The following is a 23,730-nucleotide window of genomic DNA, read 5'->3' on the forward strand; positions in this document are numbered from 1 at the left end:
GTCTCGGCAAATAGGGAGGCCTGAGAGGGAGAGAGATAAGAGAATAGCTGGTCAGTGAACAGTTAGAACACACAACATTTATCCGTTAGCTCCGTCACCTTATATAGGCACAGTTTATGGCACCCGAAAACAATCACAATAGTAACATCAGAGGTCACAGATCGTCATAACAGATAGAATGAAAATAATGAAAAGTTTGAAATGTTATAAGAATTACCAAAACACAGACATGAGGCGACCACATGCTGTTAGAAAAATGGTGCTGCCGCATGTTCTCACTCCTAAGTGGGAGTTGAACAATGAGAACACATGGACACAGTGAGGGGAACATCACACACTGGGGCCTGTCGGGGAGTGGGGGCTAGGGGAGGGATAGCATTAGGAGAAATACCTAATGTAGATAACGGGTTGATGGGTACAGCAAACCACCATGTCACGTGTATACCTGTGTAAGAAACCTGCACGTTCTGCACATGTATCCTAGAACTTAAAGTATAATAATAATAATAAAAAGAAACAAAAAGTGCAGGCCAAGCAGGAAAAAAAAAAAACAAACCAGAAAAATGGTGCTGATAGTCTCATCATGGGGTTTCCACAGACCTTCGATTTGCCAAAAAAAAAAAAAAAAAAAAAAAAAAATCCATGAAGTGCGATAATGTGAAGTACAATAAAAGGGGATATGCCTGTAATTCTTTCTGTGTCCTTTATTGTTTTCCTGCAGTTCTGTTTCAGTGTACGATTTTGTTTGCTTCAAACTGAAGAAGTTCTTTTATTGTTTCTTATAATGTTGATCTACTGATGAGAGATTCTCTAAGCTTTTGTCTGAAAATCTGTTTCATCATTTTTTTAAAGAATACTTTCTTTGCATAGAGTTTTTTAGTTTTTCACAATGGCAGTTTTTTTTTTTTTTTAAAGTGAGTGCTTTAAAAATGCCATTCCATTTTTCTTTGGCTTTCATATGTTCTCAAAGAGATTGTCATTTCTCTTAGTCTTACTTGAAAAATAATGATTCTTACCCCACCTTTGGCTTTTGTTGTTGTTGTTGTTGTTGTTTGTTTTGTTTTTTTAAGACAGAGTCTCTCTCTCTCACCCAGGCTGGAGTGCAGTGGCACGATCACAGCTTACTGTTGCCTCCACCTCCCAGGCTCAAGTGATCCTCCTGCCTTGCCTCAGCCTCCCAAGTAGGAGGACCACAGGCATGCGCCATCACACTTAGCTAATTTTTTAAATTTTTCTTAGAGACGGGTCTCCCTATGTTGCTCTGGCTGGTCTCAAATGCCCAGGCTCAAGTGATCCTCCCACCTTGGCTTCCCAAAGTGCTGGAAATACAGGCATGAGCCACCACACCTGGCCCCCTTTGGCTGGTTTTAAGAGTGTCTTTTTATATTTGGTTTTCAACTTTTTATATATGGTTATTAGCTTTCTGTGGCTGCTATCACAAATTATCACAAACTTGGTGGCTTAAAACAACAAAAATTTATTTTCTCCCACTACTGGATTTCAGAAGTTCAAAATCAGTTTAACTGGGCTGAAATTAAGGTGTTAGCAAGGCTACACTCCTTCCAGAGGCTCTAGGAGAGGATCTGTTCCATGCCTCTTCCAGCTTCAGGTGGCTGCCAGTATTTCTTGGCTTGTGGCTATATCATTGTAGTCTCTGCCTCCATGTTCACATTACCTTCTCCTTTGCATGTGTGTCAAGCCTCCATCTACTTTCCTCCTATAGAGACATTTGTGATGTCATTTAGGGCTCACATGGATAATCCAGGATACTCTCTTCATCTCAAGATTCTTGACATAATCACATCTGTAAAGACCCCTTTTCCAGATAATATCACATATGTCACATTCATAGGGATTAGGACACAGGCATGTCTTAGGGCAACATTTAACAATTGTTCTTTATAGGTGAACTTGTTTTAAACAGATGGTTTGTCAGTGTTCAGATGTTGACCTGAGAGTGGTGGAGGAATCTCCATTACAACCTGTTGAATCACACAGCTATGTTCGGATTTATTAGTTTCATTCCTCACTGCTTTTTCTCATCTACATCATCTTTCTCTTTCTTGAATTATTTATTGTGAATTAGTCTTTGTTTGTAGTATATCCTCACACATTTTCTTCATATGAGTTTGTGGATGATAATCCCTTCAAGAATAAAAGTGTTATTTTGGTCTCATATTTGAACAATTTTTTGACTGGTGTAGAATTCTAGGGTTAAGATCATTTTCTCTCAAAATTCTCTGAATATTGCTGCATTTCAGTGCATGAAGAATTTAGGCATCTGAGAAGTTCAACAACTATACAGTTTACACGTTTTTTATTTGGGCCAAGTTTGAGGACTGCAACCCAGGAGCATAGATTCAAGTTGCTCTGAATATATGTTCTAATTAGCAGCAGTTACAAGTAGGTTTTTAAAGGAAAAAAGGAGAGGCAGTATCTAATTTGTTTACCAAGAATTTACATTAAAATAGCATAAGCTATTGATTGCTATACATTGTCCTTTGTATCACAAATTCCAGGAACATGAAGATAATGGTTGAGGCAGCTAGTCAGCAACAAATTGCCTTTAAACAGTTGCCCCCCCTGGGCATTGTGTGGGGGGTGTGACTGAAGTCCCCATACTCATGTCTTCTGGGCCTGATAAATTTTATATACCTCACATAGCTCAGGCTGCTCTGAGCTGTTTTTCTTTTCTCATTTCCCCCTTTTGATCAAAATTTTTCTCTTCTGAAAGCATTGATGATCAGCATTTTAGATATAAGTTTATCCCATGTCACTGGGGAGGCTTATTCCCAGATATTCTTGTCCCGTGTTGGATGGAAAGACGTAAAAAAGGTACCATGGCTTAAAGAACTTAGTGAGGTCTCAAGGCCAAATTGATTGGCAACACAGAGGAGCAGAGCAACAGGATCTCAGTCAAGCCATCCACTCACGCTGGAGCCATGGCATGAACAACTATACAGTTTACTCAAGTCCACCCTCACTTAATGGCACCAACTGCAAGTTTGGGGATTCCCCAAACCACCCTCAGATTTGATAGTTCATTAGAAGGATTTATAATACTCTGTGAGCACTATTATACTCACAGTTATGGTTTATTACAGGCAAATTATACATAGTAAGACCAGCCAAGGGAAAAAGTACATAGGGTGGAGTTTGGGAAGATACCAAATGTAGAGCTTTTGTTGTCCTCTTCCCATGGAGTCAGGACACGTTGCTCTCTTGGCATCAGTGTGTGACAAAATGTGCAGAGCATTGCCTAACAGGAAAGCTTACCCAAGCCTTAGTGTTCAGAGTTTTTATTGGGGTTTCATTATGTAGGCATTATTGACTGACTGCCCTCTGGCTTGATCTCAGTCTCCAGCTCCACTTGGTGTGATCCAAAGCCTCCTAAATCACATAGTCATTTTTTCTGGAGTGTCTTTTCCCCACCCTAAATCACATTGTTACTATCTAGATTACAGTCTATTAGAAAAATAAATCAAGGCTGTGCATGGTAGCTCATACCTATAATCCTAATACTTATACTTTGGGAGGCCAAAGCTGAAAGATCTCTAAAATCCAGAAGTTCAAGACCAGCCTAGGCAACAAAGTGAGACCTTATCTCTACAAAACCAAACAAAAAAAAAAAAAAAATAGGTGTGATTGGGTGCACCTGTAGTCCTAGCTACTTGGGGGGCTGAAGATGGAGAATTGCTTGAACCCAGGAATTCAGAGCTGCAGAGAGCTATGATCACACCACTGCATTCCAGGCTGGGTTACAGAGGGGTGACCTCCATCTCAAAAAAAAAAAAATTTTTTTTCTTTTAATTCTTTTTTATTTTTTATTTTTTTTATAAATATATATATTTTTTATTATACTTTAAGTTCTAGGGTACATGTGCACAACGTGCAGGTTTGTTACATATGTAAACATGTGCCGTGTTGGTGTGCTGCACCCATTAACTCATCATTTACATTAGGTATATCTCCAAATGCTATCCCTTCCCCCTCCCACCACCCCACAACAGGCCCCGGTGTGTGATGTTCCCCTTCCTGTGTCCAGGTGTTCTCATTGTTCAGTTCCCACCTATGAGTGAGAACATGTGGTGTTTGGTTTTTTGTCCTTGCAGTAGTTTGCTGAGAATGATGGTTTCCAGCTTCATCCATGTCCCTGCAAAGGACATGAACTCATCCTTTTTTACGGCTGCGTAGTATTTCATAGTGTATACGTGCCACATTTTCTGAATCCAGTCTATCATTGTTGGACATTTGGGTTGGTTCCAGGTCTTTGCTATTGTGAATAGTGCCACGATAAACATACGTGTGCATGTGTCTTGATAGCAGCATGATTTATAATCCTTTGGGTATATACCCAGTAATGGGATGGCTGGGTCAAATGGTATTTCTACTTCTAGATCCCTGAGGAATCGCCACACTGTCTTTCACAGTGGTTGAACTAGTTTACAGTCCCACCAACAGTGTAAAAGTGTTCCTGTTTCTCCACATCCTCTCCAGCACCTGTTGTTTCCTGACTTTTTAATGATCGCCATTCTAACTGGTGTGAGATGGTATCTCATTGTGGTTTTGATTTGCATTTCTCTGATGGCCAGTGATGATGAGCATTTTTTCATGTGTCTGTTGGCTGCATAAATGCCATCTTTTGAGAAGTGTCTGTTCATATCCTTCACCCACTTGTTGATGGGGTTGTTTGTTTCTTTTCTTATAAATTTGTTTGAGTTCTTTGTAGAATCTGGATATTAGCCCTTTGTCAGATGAGTAGATTGCAAAACTTTTCTCCCACTCTGTAGGTTGCCTGTTCACTCTGATGGTAGTTTCTTTTGCTGTGCAGAAGCTCCTTAATTAGATCCCATTTGTCAATTTTGGCTTTTGTTTCCATTGTTTTTGGTGTTTTAGATATGAAGTCCATGCCCATGCCTATGTCCTCAATGGTATTACCTAGGTTTTCTTCTAGGGTTTTTATGGTTTTAGGTCTAACATTTAAGTCTTTAATCCATCTTGAATTAATTTTAGTATAAGGTGTAAGGAAGGGATCCAGTTTCAGCTTTCTCCATATGGCTAGCCAGTTTTCCCAGCACCATTTGTTAAATAGGGAATCCTTTCCCCATTTCTTCTTTTTGTCAGGTTTGTCAAAGATGACATGGTTGTAGATGTGTGGTATTACTTCTGAGGGCTCTGTTCTGTTCCATTGGTCTATATCTCTGTTTTGGTACCAGTACCATGCTGTTTTGGTTACTGTAGCCTTGCAGTATAGTTTGAAGTCAGGTAGCATGATGCCTACAGTTTTGTTCTTTTGGCTTAGGATTGACTTGGCAATGCAGGCTCTTTTTTGGCTCCACATGAACTTTAAAGTAGTTTTTTCCAATTCAGTGAAGAAAGTCATTGGTAGCTTGATAGGGATGGCATTGAATCTATAAATTACCTTGGGCAGTATGGCCATTTTCATGATATTGATTCTTCCTATCCATGAGCATGGAATGTTCTTCCATTTGTTTGTGTCCTCTTTTATTTCGCTGAACAGTAGTTTGTAGTTCTCCTTGAAGAGGTCCTTCACATCCCTTGTAAGTTGGATTCCTAGGTATTTTATTCTCTTTGAAGCAATTGTGAATGGGAGTTCACTCATGATTTGGCTCTCTGTTTGTCTGTTATTGGTGTATAAGAATGCTTGTGATTTTTGCACGTTGATTTCGTATCAAGACTTTGCTGGAGTTGCTTATCAGCTTAAGGAGATTTTGGGCTGAGATAATGGGGTTTTCTAGATATACAATCATGTCATCTGCAAACAGGGACAATTTGATTTCCTCTTTTCATAATTGAATACCCTTTATGTCTTTCTCTTGCCTGATTGCCCTGGCCAGAACTTCCAACACTATGTTGAATAGGAGTGGTGAGAGAGGGCATCCCTATCTTGTGCCAGTTTTCAAAGGGAATGCTTCCGGTTTTTGCCCATTCAGTATGATATTGGCTGTGGGTTTGTCATAGCTCTTATTATTTTGAAATACGTCCCATCAATACCTAATTTATTGAGAGTTTTTAGCATGAAGGGCTGTTGAATTTTGTCAAAGGCCTTTTCTGCATCTATTGAGATGATCGTGTGTTTTTTGTCTTTGGTTCTGTTTATATGCTGGATTACATTTATTGATTTGTATATGTTGAACCAGCCTTGCATCCCAGGGATGAAGCCCACTTGATCATGGTAGATAAGCTTTTTGATGTGCTGCTGGATTCGATTTGCCAGTATTTTATTGAAGATTTTTGCGTCGGTGTTCATTAGGGATATTGGTCTAAAATTCTCTTTTTGTGTTGTGTCTCTGCCAGGCTTAGGTATCAGGATGATGCTGGCCTCATAAAATGAGTTAGGGAGGATTCCCTCATTTTCTATTGATAGGAATAGTTTCAGAAGGAATGGTGTCAGCTCCTCCTTGTACCTCTGGTAGAATTCGGCTGTGAATCCATCTGGTCCTGGACTTTTTTTGGTTGGTAAGCTATTAATTATTGCCTCAATTTCAGAGCCTGTTATTGGTCTATTCAGAGATTCAACTTCTTCCTGGTTTAGTCTTGGGAGGGTGTATGTGTCAAGGAATTTATCCATTTCTTCTAGATTTTCTAGTTTATTTGTGTAGAGGTGTTTGTAGTATTCTCTGATGGTAGTTTGTATTTCTGTGGGATCGGTGGTGATATCCCCTTTTATCATTTTTTATTGCGTCTATTTGATTCTTCTCTCTTTTCTTCTTTATTAGTCTTGCTAGCAGTCTATCAATTTTGTTGATCTTTTCAAAAAACCAGCTCCTGGATTCATTGATTTCTTGAAGGGTTTTTTGTGTCTCTATCTCGTTCAGTTCTGCTCTGAGTTATTTCTTGCCTTCTGCTAGCTTTTGAATGTGTTTGCTCTTGTTCCTCTAGTTCTTTTAATTGTGATGTTAGGGTGTCAATTTTATATCTTTCCTGCTTCCTTTTGTGGGCATTTAGTGCTATAAATTTCCCTCTACACACTGCTTTAAATGTGTCCCAGAGATTCTGGTATGTTGTGTCTTTGTTCTCATTGGTTTCAAAGAACATGTTTATTTCTGCATTCATTTCGTTATGTACCCAGTAGTCATTCAGGAGCAGGTTGTTCAGTCTCCATGTAGCTGAGCAGTTTTGAGTGAGTTTCTTAATCTTGAGTTCTAATTTGATTTCACTGTGGTCTGAGAGACAGTTTGTTATAATTTCTGTTCTTTTACATTTGCTGAGGAGTGCTTTACTTCCAACTATGTGGTCAATTTTGGAATAAGTGCGATGTGGTGCTGAGAAGAATGTATATTCTGTTGATTTGGGGTGGAGAGTTCTGTAGATGTCTGTTAGGTCCGCTTGGTGCAGAGCTGAGTTCAATTCCTGGATATCCTTGTTAACTTTCTGTCTCATTGATCTGTCTAATGTTGACAGTGGGGTGTTAAAGTCTCCCTTTATTATTGTATGGGAGTCTAAGTCTCTTTGTAGGTCTCTAAGGACTTGCTTTATGAATCTGGGTCCTCCTGTATTGGGTGCATAAATATTTAGGATAGTTAGCTCTTCTTGTTGAATTGATCCCTTTACCATTATGTAATGGCCTTCTTTGTCTCTTTTGATCCTTGCTAGTTTAAAGTCTGTTTTATCAGAGACTAGGATTGCAACCCCTGCCTTTTTTTGTTTTCCATTTGCTTGGTAGATCTTCCTGCATCCCTTTATTTTGAGCCTATGTGTGTCTCTGCACATGAGATGGATTTCCTGAATACAGCACACTGATGGGTCTTTACTCTTTATCTAATTTGCCAGTCTGTGTCTTTTAATTGGAGCATTTAGCCCATTTACATTTAAGGTTGATACTGTTATGTGTGAATTTGATCCTGTCATTATGATGCTAGCTGGTTATTTTGCTCGTTAGTTGATGCAGTTTCTTCCTAGCCTTGATGGTCTTTACAATTTGGCATGTTTTTCCAGTGGCTGGTATGTGTTGTTCCTTTCCATGTTTAGTGCTTCCTTCAGGAGCTCTTGTAAGGCAGGCCTGGTGGTGACAAAATCTCTCAGCATTTGCTTGTCTGTAAAGGATTTTATTTTTCCTTCACCTATGAAGCTTAGTTTGGCTGGATATGAAATTCTGGGTTGAAAATTCTTTTCTTTAAGAATTTTGGATATTGGCCCCCACTCTCTTCTGGCTTGTAGAGTTTCTGCCGAGAGATCAGCTGTTAGTCTGATGGGCTTCCCTTTGTGGGTAACCCGACCTTTCTCTCTGGCTGCCCTTAACATTTTTTCCTTCATTTCAACTTTGGTGATCTGACAATTATGTGTCTCGGAGTTGCTCTTCTCGAGGAGTATCTTTGTGGCGTTCTCTGTATTTCCTGAATTTGAATGTTGGCCTGCCTTGCTAGGTTGGGGAAGTTCTCCTGGCTAATATCCTGCAGAGTGTTTTCCAACTTGGTTCCATTCTCCCCATCACTTTCAGGTACACCAATCAGACGTAGATTTGGTCTTTTCACATAGTCCCATATTTCTTGGAGGCTTTTTTCGTTTCTTTTTATTCTTTTTTCTCTAAACTTCTCTTCTCGCTTCATTTCATTCATTTGGTCTTCAATCACGGATACCCTTTCTTCCAGTTGTTCGAATCGGCTACTGAAGTTTGTGCATTCGTCACTTAGTTCTCGTGCCATGGTTTTCAGCTCCATCAGGTCATTTAAGGACTTGTCTACATTGGTTATTCTAGTTAGCCATTCATCTAATCTTTTTTTCAAGGTTTTTAGCTTCTTTGTGCTGGGTTCAAACTTCCTCCTTTAGCTCAGAGAAGTTTGATCATCTGAAGCCTTCTTTTCTCAACTCGTCAAAGTCATTCTCTGTCTACCTTTGTTCTGTTGCTGGTGAGGAGCTGCGTTCCTTTGGAGGAGGAGAGGCGCTCTGATTTTTAGAATTTTCAGTTTTTCTGCTGTTTTTTTCCCTATCTTTGTGGTTTTATCTACCTTTGGTCTTTGATGATGGTGACATACAGATGGGGTTTTTGTGTGGATGTCCTTTCTGTTTGTTAGTTTTCCTTCTAACAGTCAGGACCCTCAGCTGCAGGTCTGTTGGAGTTTGTCGGAGGGCCACTCCAGACCCTGTTTGCCTGGGTATCAGCAGCGGAGGCTGCAGAACAGTGAATATTGCTGAACACCAAATGTTGCTCTCTGATCGTTCCTCTGGAGGTTTTGTCTCAGAGGGGTACCCGCCGTGTGAGGTGTCAGTCTGCCTCTACTGGGGGGTACCTCCCAGTTAGGCTGCTTGGGGGTCAGGGACCCACTTGAGGAGGCAGTCTGTCTGTTCTCAGATCTCAAACTCTGTCCTGGGAGAACCACTACTCTCTTCAAAGCTGTCAGACAGGGACATTTAAGTTTGCAGAGGTTTCTGCTGCCTTTTGTTCAGCTATGCCCTGCCCCCAGAGGTGGAGTCTACAGAGGCAGGCAGGCCTCCTTGAGCTGTGGTGGGCTCCACCCAGTTCGAGCTTCCCGGCAGCTTTGTTTACCTACTCAAGCCTCAGCAATGGCGGGCGCCTCTCCTCCAGCCTCGCTGCCACCTTGCAGTTCAATCTCAGACTGCTGTGCTAGCAATGAGTGAGGCTCCGTGGGTGTGGGACCCTCTGAGCCAGGCGCGGGATATAATCTCCTGGTGTGCTGTTTGCTAAGACCGTTGGAAAAGCGCAGTATTAGGGTGGGAGTGATCCGATTTTCCAGGTGCCATCTGTCACAGCTTCCCTTGGCTAGGAAAGGGAATTCCCTGACCCCTTGTGCTTCCCGGGTGAGGCGATGTCTCGCCCTGCTTCGGCTCACGCTCGGTGGGCTGCACCCACTGTCCAACAAGCCCCAGTGAGATGAAGCCGGTATCTCAGTTGGAAATGCAGAAATCATCCGTCTTGTGCGTTGCTCACGCTGGGGGCTGTAGACTGGAGCTGTTCCTATTTGGCCATCTTGGAACAGGAATCAAAGGAAATTTTTTAAAAATCCCATTTATGATAGCATCAAAAAGAGTACAATAGTTAGGAATAAATTTAACCAAGGATGTAATAATGTGCACACTGAAAATTATAAAACATTGATGAAAGAAATTCAAGAAGACACAAATCAATGGAAAGATACCTTATGTTTATGGATTGGAAGAATCAATATTATTAAAATGTTCATACTGCCTGAAGCAATACACAGATTCAACACAATCCCTATTGAAATTCCAATGGCATTTTTCACAGAATAGAAAAAAAAATTCTAAAATGTGGATGAAACTAGAAGACATTATATTAAGTGAAATATACTAGACACAGATAGATAAATACTGTATGATTTCACTTATATATGGAATCTAAAAAAAATGTTCAGTTCATAAAAGCAGAGAGTAAAACAGTGGTTGACAGTGGGTGGGAGACCTGGAGAGATGTTGGTCAAAGTGTATGAACTTACAGTTGTAAGATGAATAAGTTCTGGATACCGGACATACAGCATGGCAACTATAGTTAATAATAATGTATTGAATATTTGAAATATGCTATAAGAATAGATCTTAAGCATTCTCACCACATACCCAAAAAAGTAACTATGTGAGGTGATGGATATTTTACTTAGCTTGATTGTGGTAATAATTTCACAATGTGTACATTTATCAGAATATCACATTGTATACCTTGAATATATACCATTTTTATTTGCCAATTATACTTCAAGGCAGAAAAAAATAAAATTAGAGTAGAAACAAAAGCTTGGAGGTCTGAAATGTTACTAAAAGTGTAACATTTTCCTTTTTTCAATATTCTTGCCACATGGTGGGTAGGTCCTTTTAGTCTGAAGATTCAAGTCTGTCTTATTTGGGGGATATTTTCTTCAATTAGTCCCTTGATTATTGATCCTTCTCTTTTGGCTGTATTCTCTCCTGTGACTGCTAATAGGTGTGTAAATCAGTACCAGGCACATAATAAGCACATGTTAAATATCTGTTGATCGTATAAATTGATCCTGGATTTGCTTGATCAGTTTTCCGTGTATCTTACATCTTCTTTCATGATTTACAACCTAGACATTTTGCTGTTTTCAGAACAAATTTTTTGAATTGTTACTGCAGAAGCTGCTTTTGCTCATTTATGTTCTGCTTTTAAAAAATTATGCCATTTTATTAAAATATAGTTTTTGGAATGTTGTCATGTTATCTAATTTTTTATGTCCTCTGATGACTTTGTTTAAAATTAGTTCAATTATGTCTTGTATCTGAGGATACTTATTAGAAATTTTTTTATTACTGTTATTCTATCTTGTTTCCCATATTAACTTTGTTCCATTAAGGACTGTTTGTCCCCATTGCTTTTTTTGTCTCCTCACTTTAACTGCTGTTTCTTCTCAAAAGTTCTAGTCAATGCATATATTCTATTCAACATATATATTTAGCTCTAGATGTAATCAGTTTTGGTATGTGCCTCCAGGTGGCATCCTGTGCAGTCTTCATGAAGTGAAACCCAAAGACTGGTGCCCCTGTCAGTTGTTCTACTGCAGAGACTTTGTGGAGTATGTGGTTGGAGATGAATCTATGGTTAAGGGAGTGGATTTTTTAAAACCAATATGTGAAGTATAATATACATAAAGTGCATCAACTGTAAGCATACAACTTGTTGTGTTTTCACAAAGTAAACATACCATGTAGAACCAACACCCAGATTAAGAACTAGAGCACGAACAGTACCCCAGAAGCTCCCTTCTCCCTTCTTTTAGTCACTACTCTTCTCCAAAGGTGGCCACTGTCCTGATTTCTCCACATAGATTAATAAAACATAGCAGGGGCCGAGAGTGGTGGCACACACCTATAGTCCCAGCTACTCAGGAGGCTGAGGTGGGAGGATCGTTTGAGCCCAGGAGGTCAAAGCTGCAGTGAGTCGTAATTGTGCCACTGCACTCCAGCTTGGGCGACAGAGCAAGACCCTGTCTCAAGATAAATAATAAAATATAGCAGGTATTCTGTTTATGTCAAGTTTCTATTGCTCAAAATGATGTTTGTGAGATTCATCTGTGGTAAATTGTATAAATGTAGTAGTAGATTGTGAATTGTCATTACTGTATTGTATTCCATGTTATGACTCTCCTGTAATTTATGCATTGCACAGTTGATGGGCATTTGGGTGGTTTCCAGTTTAAGGTATGAAAAGTAGTGCTGTCCAAAACATTTTTTTATATGTCTTTTGGTGAATTTGCATACATCTGTGGGACCATACCAGAGTGGATTGCTGGATTATTAGGGAGTTTTGTTGGTTGGTTGTTTGCCATTTTGTTTTAAACTCCTTGTGTCCTGGTGGGAATTGTTCAGTAGATACTGAGAAATTGATGATGCAAAAGAAAATGGATAGCAGAAGGAATGAAGTTCTATGGGTTTTGGCCCTCACAAAAGTAAATACATATCTTCCTACAGAAATCAAACAGGTTTTTATGGCTCAAAGCCCCGGAATTATACGGGGCAGAATAGGCGAATGTGCTTGCAGTCAGCTGGCTTTAAAAGAGCCTTTCTTATTGGAAGTATAGAGAGGAAAATTCTTTTCCACTAGCGGGAAGAACCACTTCTGGTGCTCAACATCATGTGCATTGCTGCAGTGGAGAAGAAAAAAGAGGGAAGCGTTTTCATTGGGCTCATACTGCTTATGATAGGCCTGGCAGAGTCTTGCTTTTGGCAACTATTGAGTATGAATGGCCAGTCTCTACTTGTAAAGAGAGGTCATTGGACTTAAATGGAATTAATGGAAGTAAAATGTTCTCAGGTTGTTACTGCAAATCATTCATGTAGTCAGTGCCAGGGGTTAAACAATTCTCGCCTCTTTTCTAGTCTGTCACCTTCAAAACTACCAGCAGAAATCTTGCTCGAGCCATGTGTATGAAGAACCTCAAGCTCACTATTATCATCATCATCGTATCAATTGTAAGTTTTTGTCCTTTTAGTGTATGGCTTTATTTTTCAATCTCTAAGAAATTAGGTACTAGAATTATTTCTCAATGATTAACACTCTGAAATGAGCTACATATGTCTTTTAATAGTGAAACACATGACCAGGCAGTGGCTTTCCTATGAAGTCACTATGAAATATCTCTACTTAAACCCCTCCTTCCTATTGAGAATTATTATATATTCTCAATAGGAAGAGATCTATAAAACTGACCTCACAGAAATGTAGTTATTTTAAATAAAGACATTTCTGGTTTATATGTAATGGGTTTATTGTTTTTATTTTTAAATTAATTATGTATTTTTAAAGTTTTAATTTCTAATATGGCAAATGCTGATAATTATAATCCCCCTTAAACAAGAACTCTTTGGAGTCCTCAGTAATTTTTGAGTGTGTAAAGAGGTCCTAAACCACAACTTTAAAAACTATTGCTAACAGGTGGGGGGTGCTTTACCCTGTTCATGGTCAGATAAAGTTGCCTTTCCTCCCCATCCTCCAGTCATGTCCAGAAGCCCAAAGTTACCTCCAAGCAGATAACTCTGACCCTGCTTCTCCTCTACCACAGCTTGAGGGTCCTCTGCCTTAGACAGCTGGATTTATCTAAAAGAGAAGAGCAGTCATAGATCTGTAGATTTTATACTGGAAGTAATTGTCATGGCCTTGAATGGTTCCTTGCTCAGGTTTCTCTTTCTAATATCACATTTTAGGCTCCTGAGCTTAGCTTCTTACTTATTATTTGGTCTGGGAGTTTAGGTTGATTTGTGCAGCTGAATTGTTAAATTCAGAATATATTTACTGATTACTTATTACATGCAGAGCACAGCTCTAAATGCAATATCAATCTTTGCGAAAAGGTGTTGTCACCTAACGAGATGTACTTCAGCTTGAAAAATCCTTATATTACAGCTGTGACAAATAGTCAACTTTACATCAAGTTGGTAAACTTTACATTTGTGGCATGTGTATGTGTGAGTATGTGTGTGTATGTGTGAATATGATGTCAGAAGTTCAACCTATTCATTAATAAACAGAATTTGCTGTAATCTGCCCCCCAACCCTGGCAATATTTATAGTTCCCTACAAGGCAAAATGCTTTGCTCACTTTTGGAGCAAAGGGCATGCAATTCATCAATGCATCCTTTTCCAAGCTTGCAAATAATGAAATCAGTCACTTAAAGATCTCAAAAAGTTGTAATTTAAAGCAAAATAAAGCCAGGCATAGGGGCTTATGCCTGTAATCCCAGCACTTTGGGAAGCTGAGGCAGGAGGATTGCTTGAGGCCAAGAGTTTGAAGCCAGCCTGGTCAACATAGTGACACCCTATCTCTACAAAAATAAAAAATAAAAAATAAATAAAATAAAGTGACTAATGCAGTGAACCTAATGTTTAAAATCTATTTTTTGTGATATAATAATGTGAACAAGTAGTGACTTTTATAATATAATTTAAAATTATAATCTAGAATTAAAAAGCAAACACATCTGTAATAGCACCAGTATTTTTGCAGTGTTACTTACATCATCTGCTTTTCATTGTTTTGGTCATCGTAATTATTGTGTCATTATCCACTGAACAGTTCGTAGCAGTGTTCTTGCTCATAAGTGATATAGATGAAAGCCTTCTACTCAGGCTTTTAAAATATATTCTTATATTAATCAAAAATAAAATTCATGTGCAAAACCTAAAAATATAATTAATGAAACCATACTTCAGGAGAATTATGGTTATTTGTGATTTTTTTATGACTTGTTAATGACACATCAGTATGAGTTGCTCATTTAGCCTTGATTCTGCCGAGTTACCAGTGAAGAGCAACAACCCCACTGCTTTCTCTCCCACTGAAGGAAACGCTAGAGTTCAAGTGGGTGTGAGTTATACCAAAAACGACAATGTTAACTACACTTCTGTCTTGGAAAATACTTGTTTAGTGTGTTCCATTACTACATAACTGCTACTCTAATGGAATCAGAAGTATTTCTTAATAAGGCTCTACTTTCCTATATATATTATTTAGAATAATATGATTGATTCAAGAAAATAAAATTGCTCTCCTCGTCCCTCCAGGTGTTCATCTATATCATTGTTTCACCTCTCTGTGGTGGATTTACATGGCCAAGCTGTGTGAAGAAATAGGAAAGAAGAAGTTACCATTAACCAAGGATATGAGAGAACAAGGAGTTAAAAGCAATCCATGTGACTCAAGCCTTTCACATACTGACAGATGGTATCTGCCAGTCTCTTCAACCCTCTTCTCACTTTTTAAAATCTTGTTCCATGCCTCCAGGTTTATCTTTGTCTTATCTACCAGTTTATTCCTGTGAACTTCAGATTGAACCATTCATTGCAGCAGTAGCCTTAAAAAGGCTTTTGTTTATTTCTTTGGTTTGTTAACTAGTGTCATCTATTTAGAGAAACATTTTTGTTTTTAATTGCTCAAAGCTGTCGCCGCTAGTCTTATGAGCTATCTACTAAAACTATGGAGAAACTTTGTATGTGCACACAAAAGTATTCAAGAGACAGTATTGCTAACATCTCATCTTAATGTCTTTTGTTATTGAGAAGTTTTAGGTGCTTCAAAACAATATAAATGGATAATAGTTGTTATTTGGGGAATTGTAATGATGTTGGTGCTGCTTCCTTCTAAGAGCTCAGACAAGTAAAGTATGAAACATTCTTATTTCAGTTAGATGGGGAACATTTTGCTAGCCCATTAGAAGCACACAGAATTATCCTTGTCCTCCTAATATTGACTTTCAGGAATAAAGTTCAGTGTGCTGATCATTCACAATACAGTGGATAGCTTGATATCTTCTGTTTTCCCATTGCAGTTGATTTGAGAAGATGAAGGTTTAAATATTGTTGAAAGTTGCAGTTTTTTAAATGTGTTCCTTTTTCTTCTGTGAATATTTAGGGCAATCGTGTCGCTAATAGAATATGTAGTAGAGGGGGTGGGGAGGTAAATTCCTCTGACTTGCCAAAGAAAAAGAAGGGAACCACAGTGGATATGCTAGCATTTTAGCTGTGCAAAGGGAGGTAGTGTGGGAAAAGTGTTTCCATTCTGGGAAAAGCCCAAACCGAATACGGTCAGCAGTCAACTCCAGGGTTTGGGCTTGATTCCTGTTGAATAATAGTTTTGAGCATTCTTTGTGGTTAAATAAATTCTTAAATCTGCCTAGTTTTGATGAATTCTTTTGTGAAACTTGAAAGAGAATAGACAGTATGACATATAGAATTAATACAAAACAGTTTAACAACCATTTAACTGCAGTGTAAGAAAATTGGACTGTAATCATATCGCTACTGGCATCTGTTATCTAGTATGCATTTCTGGTGTGTATCTGAAAGGAAGACATTTTCTACCCTAGATCCAATTGCATTTATTTATCAATAAGTGCCATTAAATTGAAATTATATTACATTTTACACTTTCTCAATGAATGAACAAATTAGTCTGTAGAATCTAGCCACCTGTTTAGCCTAGTCATGTGCCTTGAACATATATGTGTCCCATAATCTGGCTCATGGTACCTGTTCTTCTATCCAAACCTTTCAATTCATGCTACCTGATTCATTTATTTGACATAGATCTTAGGCCCACTTGAACTCTTTTCTTGTTTATCTAGCATAGCACAAACGTTTTTCCAGTCTTCTTTATCAACACTAATGCCTCTTAATTGCATCAGTATTTCCTATTGGAAAATACATCTGTTCCAGAAAAACATTTGGCATTCCTGAATAATTTCCAAATGTTTTTAATCCAAAGAAAAAGGTTTAAAGCTTATTTCCCTTTCTTATACACACCTGAATAAAATTGATGTGCATGTTTTAGGGATCAATTACCTAACTGTTCCTTGGTCTATTTATGTATAAGAATGCTTTTTAAAGCACATGTCTCATTTTAAATGACGCACAAACTGAAGATGTTAATAAAATTTAAGAGTAATACAATGATTTGCTTGTTTTAGAAGTTCTTTCTGGAACCTAATTTCTTCTGATGACATTTGCCATTGTTTACAGAACAAAAGTATTTTACTTATGCGGAAAATATATTAAGAAGTGTTACCTGGAGACTTCCAGTAAAGATCTGTAGCATAGTCTCAGGTGTGTAGAATTTCTTCAAAAGACACAAATGAACTTAAAAAATATATAGCCCATGCTGAAACCAATGAAAGATTCTGAGATGATCACACAGCCTTCACAACTATCGTCCTGAGTGCATGATTTAGACAGAACTGAAAAAGAACCCCAGGGATTTTCATCCAGTTTAGCACAATTCTGAAAAATCTTTCTATCTAAAGTTAAATGACTGGTTCTGAAAGAGACTCAAGCGGAAGGCATAATGGTGGGAGGGAATAATTCATTATAGCAAACAGGGTACCTAAACAGAAATAAAAGAAAAACAGGCACAAATCAAATATACAAATAGATAGGTCACAACAAAATAATCAGTCACTTGGGACCTCTGAACGTAAGGTGGCTAAAGTCAGGTATAGAATATATTTTTGTACAGGCTGCAATAACTTAAAAACAGCCTATTTAAGTTCTCCCTAGGTTTTATCCAGATTTCAACTGAAATGTGCATTCTCTAACAGACACTTAGAGAAAAATAAAAGATGGTTATTTATTTGGTTATGAATAAAGAAAGAAGTGACACCAGCTATTTCTCTTTACTTCAAACCCTTGGCAAAAAAAAAAACAGTGTTACAATCCAAAAGTTTCCTTAATAGTGAATGTAGGTGCCTTTAGATAATGGTTTCTTCTTGCTTGACTCTTGGTATCTATCTTTTCTGGCCTCAAGATAGACAAAGATACTGGGTTGCTTCCCAGGGTATCTTGATGGAAATGAATGTAACAACAACAGCAGCACCGTAGACCCTACCAAAGTGTTCTACATTAGAAGCAAGTCTATGTCTTGCAATGCCATCTTCTCAAGTATAATAAACAGGGTGGAAGTAGTGGTTGTGGTTGCCATGTATATCAGCGTGAATCCAGTGAAGACAGCAGAGGCAAGACAAGTGTTAGGGAAACAAAGAGTTTAATATAGGATTCAAGGTTACAAAAATGTGTGACAAACTGGGAAGTGAAGGTCTGGAAGGCAGGTACCAGAAGATCAGAAGAACAGTCCTAGTGCTTTCACTTGAGGCAGTGACATAGGCAGACAGGTCGGAGCTTGCTGGAAAACCTAAGAAGCCCTGTATGTCTGCTTGCTGATATGGTTTTGCTGTGTCCCCACCCAAATCTCGCCTTGAATTTTAATCCCTATAATCCCCACATGTCAAGGGAGGGACCTGGTGGGAGGTGATTGGACCATGGGGGCAGTTTCCTCCATGTTGTTCTCATGATAGTGAGGGAGTTCTCATGAGATCTGATGGTTTTATAAGTGTTCGACAGTTCCTCCTTCACACACTCACTCTCTCCTGATACCTTGTGAAGAAGGTGGCTGCTTCCCCTTCCACCATGATTGTAAGTTTCCTGAGGCCTCCCCAGCCTTGCGAAACTGTGAGTCAATTAAACCTCTTTCCTTTATTAACTGCCCAGTCTCGGGTAGTATCTGTACAGTAGTATGAGAGAAGACTAATACACTTGCCAAAGTTGGTGTGTGAAGAGAGACATGTGGAAAGGTTTATGGAAGCCACAGCTTCAGTAGATCTGATGCCAAGTACCAAGTAGTAGGCTTGCAGCCCCAGTTGGTTAGCATGACTAACAGTCCACAGAATGAGTTGGATGTGGAATGGAAAAGGTTGAGGAAAAGCTGCGACACACCAGGCACCTAAGCATCTTTGTATCCTTTGAAGGGTACTGGCCTCTACTTTTGTTCTGCTTTCCAAGTCTCATATAAGTGCAACTCACTGAGAAAGGCTAACCCTAAAACCATCTAGGGTAAGGGGATTCTATGAAATTCTCAGCTTCTGGCAAAAGCAATGGTGCCAGTCTAGCATAGCCCAGTTCCTCCTAGACTCATTCATAGTATTGGCTCTACTGCTTTGTCAAGACAATTTTGGTAAGTTAAAGCATTCTTCTGGTCAGAATACACTGTACAAAATTATTTTGGGTTCGTGCTATTTATTAAGCCCAAACAATCTAAATCCAAAATGCTGTGACTTTTTACATCTCTTCCAAAGAGAAAAAAAATCATGGCAATATTCTGTATAAGAAAACTAACATGCACGGGCTGACACCATGTTTTTTCTTTTTAAATCCCCATTGCAAGTTTAGAAAAGCACAAAGAAAACTTTAAGAAGTCTCATAGAGAATATTGAACTCAAGACTGCAACTTACAGACTTTCACTGCTGGCCAAGATGGAGTAACAGATACAGGGCATTTACCTACCTGCGTGAAATAACACCCCCGGAAAGACAAAATATATGAAGCAACAGTTTTCAAGACACTGGACACTAGGCAACAAAGGACAGTGATCTTTCGAAGAGTTGAATCCTACAATTGTACCAGCTTATTCTGAGGAGAGAGTAACTAGGTCATAATACAATGAGGAGGAACCCAGGCAGAGCCTGGCAGATTCCCTGGGTTGAGATGTGACTTGAGATTTCCAGGAAGATCAAGACAGATGTCTTTGCAGGATAGAGTACTAGAGAGGAGAGAGCTGCACAGAAAGGACTCTAGATCTGAGGAAACTACTCAATGGCAGAGAAAGAACCACCCGAAAAAAGATTAGACGGAAGAGTTTCCTGCACTCACGCAGTACCAGAAGTAGTGCCTGTATATGCATTCAAACTGGAAAATTTCATGAATCACAGAGTATTTGATAGAGTACCCAGAAAGGTCTTACCTCAGTAATGGAGAATAAATAACCCTAGTCCAGAGCTTCTCAACCTTGGCACTGTTGGCATTTGGAGCCAGATATTTTTTGTCATGTGGGGCTGTCCTGTGCATTGTATTATAGTATTTTGCCAGCATCCCTGGCCATCAATCTACTAGATGCCAGGGCCACTGTCTTCCCAGTTCTGACAACCAAAAACCTTCCAAATGATTTCACAAAGTTGGGAAGACAAAATTGTCCCTGATTGAGAACCATTGCTGTAGACTAAACACACCTCTCATCCAGCTTGATACATTTTAAAAGTAAGACCTGAGATGATGAAATTGTTTTCCAGGTAACTGCATCCCAGAACAAACCTCAAGAATATATTTATGGAAACACAAACACAGCACGCAAATTAAAATTCAATGTGTAAGGCAGCAAATACAAAATTACCGGTCACACAAAGAAGCAGGAAAATATGACCAACGATAAGATAAAAAAATTTATCAATTTAAATAAATGGAGAACTGACATGTTAGAATTAGCAAAGATATAAAAACAGCTATTAATGTTGTATTACATGTGTTCTAAAAGGTAAGCAGAGGCATGAAATAAAAAGGCACATTTAATTTCTAGAAATTAAGACTAGGATATCTGAGATGTAAAATACACAGGATTGGATTAATGACCTAGTAGACATAGCAGAAGTAGAAATTACTGACCTTGAAGACTAAGCAATAGAAACTCTCCAAATGAAACACATCAATTAAAAGATAAAGTGTTAAATGTCAAAGTGTATTTTTAGAGTCAACTCTTATCTTTAAGAAACTCACTTAAAATGTTAATATAGGTTAAAAGTAAAAGCATGGGAAAATATACCATGCAGACAGTAATGAGAAAACTGCAGTAGATGTCAGAGCAAAGGATATTGCCAGGGATAGAGAAGATTGTTTCATAATGATAAGTGGGTAAATTCATCAGGTGTCAGGGTTTTTAGGGTTTAAGGTTGGGGATTAGGATTACCAGTTTAAAATCTAGGAGTTAGGTTTTGGGCTTCCTCTGGAGCCTACATGGTCTGAGAAGGAAAAGCAATGAAATACTTCAGGTTTGGTGGTACTTCAGATTCTGATCTTCAATCTGCCTGTTAACATACATTTTTAGTCTTCAAATTAGCTGCTCCATACATTCCATCTAGGATTTATAGTTGTGGGAGAGACACAATAGAGTGTGCTTTCTCCATCTTGCCCAGAATTTGAACTCCAGTGCAAAATAACCCTAACCCCAAAACTTGGTGTTATAAAACAATTGCGGTGTTTTATTTCCTAAGGTTCAGGTTCAGGTGTAAGCTTTGGGATTAAGAAATTGAGTTCAGGTTAGGGTTTGAGTTCAGCTTGAGCTTCTGTTTTAGAATTAGTGCTGACATCAGGGATTGGGTTGGGATTATTATTGAGGTTTGGATTCATACTCAGATTGAAAGGTTTTGGGGTTTTTTTTGTTTCGGTTTTTTTTTTAGACAGAGTCTTGCTCTGTCACCCAGGCTGGAGTGCAGTGGCACAATCTTGGCTCACTGCAACCTCCGCCTCCTGGATTCAAGCAATTCTCCTGTTTCAGCTTCCCAAGTAGCTGGGACTACAAGCACACACCACCACGCCTGGCTAATTTTTGTATTTTTAGTAGAGACAGGGTTTCACCATCTTGGCCAGGCTGGCCTCGAACTCCTTACCTCAAGTGATCCACCTGCCTCGGCCTCCCAAAGTGCTGGGATTATAGGCATGAGCCACTGCACCCAGCCAGATTGAAGGTTTTGAATTGGAATCAAGTTCAAATTTAGGATTGAGGTCATAGTCAGGGTTTGGTTAGGTTTAGGATTGATCAGGTTACAGGCATGGGTTCGGGTTTAGGGGTTTTGGTAAGGTTCTAGCTCAGGTTTGAGTTTAGGCTTAGAGTTTAGGGGTTCCATTTCAAGTTAAGACTCTGGATCAGTTTTATGGCTTAGGGATTTGGGTTCAAGTCTGGGTTAGATTTTGAGTTTGGAATTAAGGTTTATATTTATGGTTAGGGTTTAGGGTATAAGGCTTGGGTTAGGGTTAGTGTGGATGTTGAGTCTGAGGTTTGGGCTTAGTTTGAAATTTGGTTTGGGCTCAGGCTTGTACTCTGACTTGACTTTGATTTTAGGGTGTATGGATTCAGACTTGGGTTCTGGTTCAGGTTCAGAGTTTGGATTTGTATTTGTGTTAGGATTTGGGGTTGGATTAAAGGACATTATTGAAATGCAGTTTGGTTCTGGGCTGGAGTTAAGGTAGGGATTTGGTTCAGTTTGAGGTCTGTGTTGAAGCTCGGGCTCTGAGTCCAGTTCATGTTGGAGCTCTGACTAGAGCTCAGTTTGGACTAGGGCTTGGGCTCTGGCTGAGATTGAGATTAGGACAGGGGCTTAGGATGGAGCTAGGTGCAGGATAGTTCTCCAGATATCCTTGGACCATCCCAGTTCTCCCTTCTTTCTCACTCGTAATTTTCAAGAATAATTGTAGAATGTCTGGGAATGCAACACCCTGAGATAAGGAAGGCTAGTTGGAACAGCCCAGGCTTTGTTCCAGTGCCCCTCACCCAGAACAGGATGTCATACGACGCTTTAGACAAGTAGTTCCTGTACTCCCAGGGTATAAAATCCAGAGCAAACTGCTTTCCAGGATCCTTCAATTGCAGTGCAAGTGAGGCATGCACAGACAAGACTCTATCTGCCCTGAGCAGCTTTCCTGAACCTTGGGGGACTGGCTCACAGTGAATCCTAGGCTTCTGTTTTCTCTTACTGCCTATTTGTAATTAATACATTTGCTTCATCATATAACTTGTCTCACCAGACCCAGACAAGTTGGTAAGCAGTGCACAGTGAACCTGCTTTATGCAAGTTTATGGCTGGGGCTGGAAATGGTAATGGGATTGGGATTAGCTAGGTTTGGATTCTAGTTCAGGTTCAGATTTGGATTTAGGGTTTTCATGTTCAGGTTCAGGCTCTATCTTGGGTTTGGAGTTTAGTAGTTTGGGTTCAAGGTTCAGGTCTGGATTCAGATTTACAATTTGGGGTTTGGGTTCAGGATTATGATTTAGGTTTGGAGTCGGTGCTGGAGTGATTCACATTTGGGCTTGAGCTCTCACTCAGGTTTAGTTTTAAGTTTTAAGCCTGAGGTATCACTCTCATTCAATGTCAGAATTTAAGAGCAAATTTGATTGGAATTTGGTTTAAGATTACAGTTAGTGTTAGGGTTGAGTTCACGGTTTAAGTCGTGTTTTGAGTTTAGGTTTAGATTGGATTTATGGTTTGGGCGTGGGCTTGGGCTCAGACTCTGGCAATGGTTTTATGTTCAGGGATTTAGGCTTGGGTACGAATTCAGGTTAGAGTTGCTATTTGGCTCCAGGTCAAACTCAGGGCATGGGTCAGGTATTAGGTATATGATTGGAATAGAGGTCCGGGTTTGGGTGTGGTCTTGTTTGGATGCAGGGGTTGACTTGAGTTCAAGTTTGGATTTAGGGGTCTGGGCTGAGGACAATGTTGGCTCTAATTTATGGTTGTGGTTGGTTTTGGAATGTGGTTCAGGTTAGAGTTTTGGGCTCAGGTTTGAACTAGTGCTCTGCTCACACTGGAGTTGGTGCCATGGATGGGGACGGGGTTTGGGCCAGTGTTGAGGCTGGGTTTGAGTTTGGGACCATGAAAAGGTTGAAGTTGAGGTTAGTGTTGGGATCAGGATTTGGGTAAAGGATCAGGTCAGGGTTTGGAATTAAGTCAGGATATGATCCCTCAGCCTGGGCCTTGCCTCAGACTTGGTTTTAGAGTTTGGGTTTTGAATTCAGGTTAGTGGTCAGGTGCAGTGTTCTAGTCATGTTTGGAGTTTGAGTTTAGGGTTAGAGTATCAATTTGAGTTTGGGTTCATGCTTAGGCCTTCTTTTGGGGGCTAGGTTGAGGTCAAGGTGTAGCTCAGGCATAGGGTTTAGGTTTGGGTTTGGTTTTAGGATTCAGGCTTGGGC

The 23,730-nt window shown here is 39.3% G+C and overlaps 1 protein-coding gene across 7 annotated transcripts in view; it reads left to right on the forward strand.

Annotated features, from left to right (window-relative positions):
• VAMP7 (vesicle associated membrane protein 7) overlaps nt 1-16,900 on the forward strand; it is a 62,425-nt gene extending 45,525 nt beyond the window's left edge. For all 7 annotated transcript variants that reach the window (NR_033714.2, NR_033715.2, XM_017029760.2 and 4 more), the window contains 2 exons: nt 12,832-12,924; nt 15,014-16,900. Coding sequence is in view for 5 of the 7 variants with exons in the window: in XM_011531188.2 (XP_011529490.1) it covers nt 12,832-12,924; nt 15,014-15,270 (350 nt within the window). In the remaining 2 variants the exon portion in view is untranslated. The remainder of the gene's footprint in view (nt 1-12,831; nt 12,925-15,013) is intronic.

Source organism: Homo sapiens, chromosome X (genome assembly GCF_000001405.40).
Source record: "Homo sapiens chromosome X, GRCh38.p14 Primary Assembly".
Taxonomy (NCBI): Eukaryota; Metazoa; Chordata; class Mammalia; order Primates; family Hominidae; genus Homo; species Homo sapiens.